The sequence below is a fragment of the Homo sapiens genome, chromosome 10, assembly GCF_000001405.40.
Source record: "Homo sapiens chromosome 10, GRCh38.p14 Primary Assembly".
In the NCBI taxonomy this organism is placed as follows: Eukaryota; Metazoa; Chordata; class Mammalia; order Primates; family Hominidae; genus Homo; species Homo sapiens.
The window spans coordinates 109,007,705-109,008,814 of record NC_000010.11 but is presented as its reverse complement, the minus strand read 5'-3'; the positions used below and the strand labels follow the sequence as shown (position 1 = coordinate 109,008,814).

General features: G+C 35.5%; 1 annotated feature.

Annotated features, from left to right (window-relative positions):
* Window positions 269-438: an enhancer, noted in NCBI's record as "experimental_9855 CRE fragment used in MPRA reporter constructs". NCBI's record gives its function as "activates a minimal promoter by MPRAs in K562 erythroleukemia cells, with activity observed for the non-introgressed 10:110768220 variant allele {active_cell/tissue: K562}" and the evidence as "EXISTENCE:reporter gene assay evidence [ECO:0000049][PMID:34662402]".

The window sequence follows — 1,110 nt, the reverse complement described above, 5'->3', positions numbered from 1 at the left end:
GGTCTTTGCCCACAGTACAGTCTTCAGATACTCAAAGCCACCAGATTCCCTAGGGATGTAGCCCATGTGGCTAATTTCTCATGTGCTATGGCAGAGCCATGCTTCCCTTCTGCTCACTTTGCTCTGATGTGCTCCTATACATTTCAGTTTTTCTTTAAAGTGTGACCCTGAAATCAGTTTTTTTCTGCAGAGGAAACCTGTTTTTATTTCTTTTAGTTGTTTATTTAGATACTTATCTCCATATTTCTAAATAATATGTTTATCATGCTTTTAAATGAAACTTTCTTGCTTTGTCAAATTTACACAGCCCCTCATCTCCAGTTAGCTTCTTCTGTTCTCTCAGTAGGTTTATCGTAAATATTTTTATATTTTTTTCTTAGATATAGTTTTGTTTTTCTTTAGTTAATATGTGTTATTTGGATCAGTTTCAATATACCTGTAATTAGTTAGCTTTATTGCCTCTATCAAATGCCTGTTAATCAATGTTTACTCCAAACACACAAACATCTACTATTCATTTTTTTTCTTTATTTAATTCCCATGAATTCCTCTGTTCGTGAGGCTCAATTCACTACACAATTTGTACTAGTGGGTTTTTATGTTTGTTTCATAGCTGGTGTTTCCTAGATTCTGCATCTTTCTCTTTATTAATCAGCTTCCTTTATTTTGGCATGTAATAGTTCTTCAGTAGATTCCAAAGAAATGACATATTGGAGCAAAACACCAAGTTATTATATGCATGAAATGTCTATTTTCACACTCAGTTGAAAGCTAAGCTGAATATATCATTCTAAACTAAAAATAATTTTCTTTTTAGTGGATATTATACACAACTGCAGATTTTTTGCAACTCCTTTTGAGAGATGCAATCTAATTACCCTCTCCTTGAGTCTGGGATGGTCTTAGTGATTCACCTGACTAATAGAATGAGGCCAAAATATTCTAGGAATTCTGAAACTAGGTCATTAAAAGCCCTTGCACCTTCCACATTTCCCTCTTAAAACTCTTGCTCTAGGGAAGCAATACACTGAGATGACCATGTCACGAAGAGGCCCAAGGTAGCCATGTAAAGAGGAGGCAGGGAACAAGAGATGACTGGGCAGTCCCCAG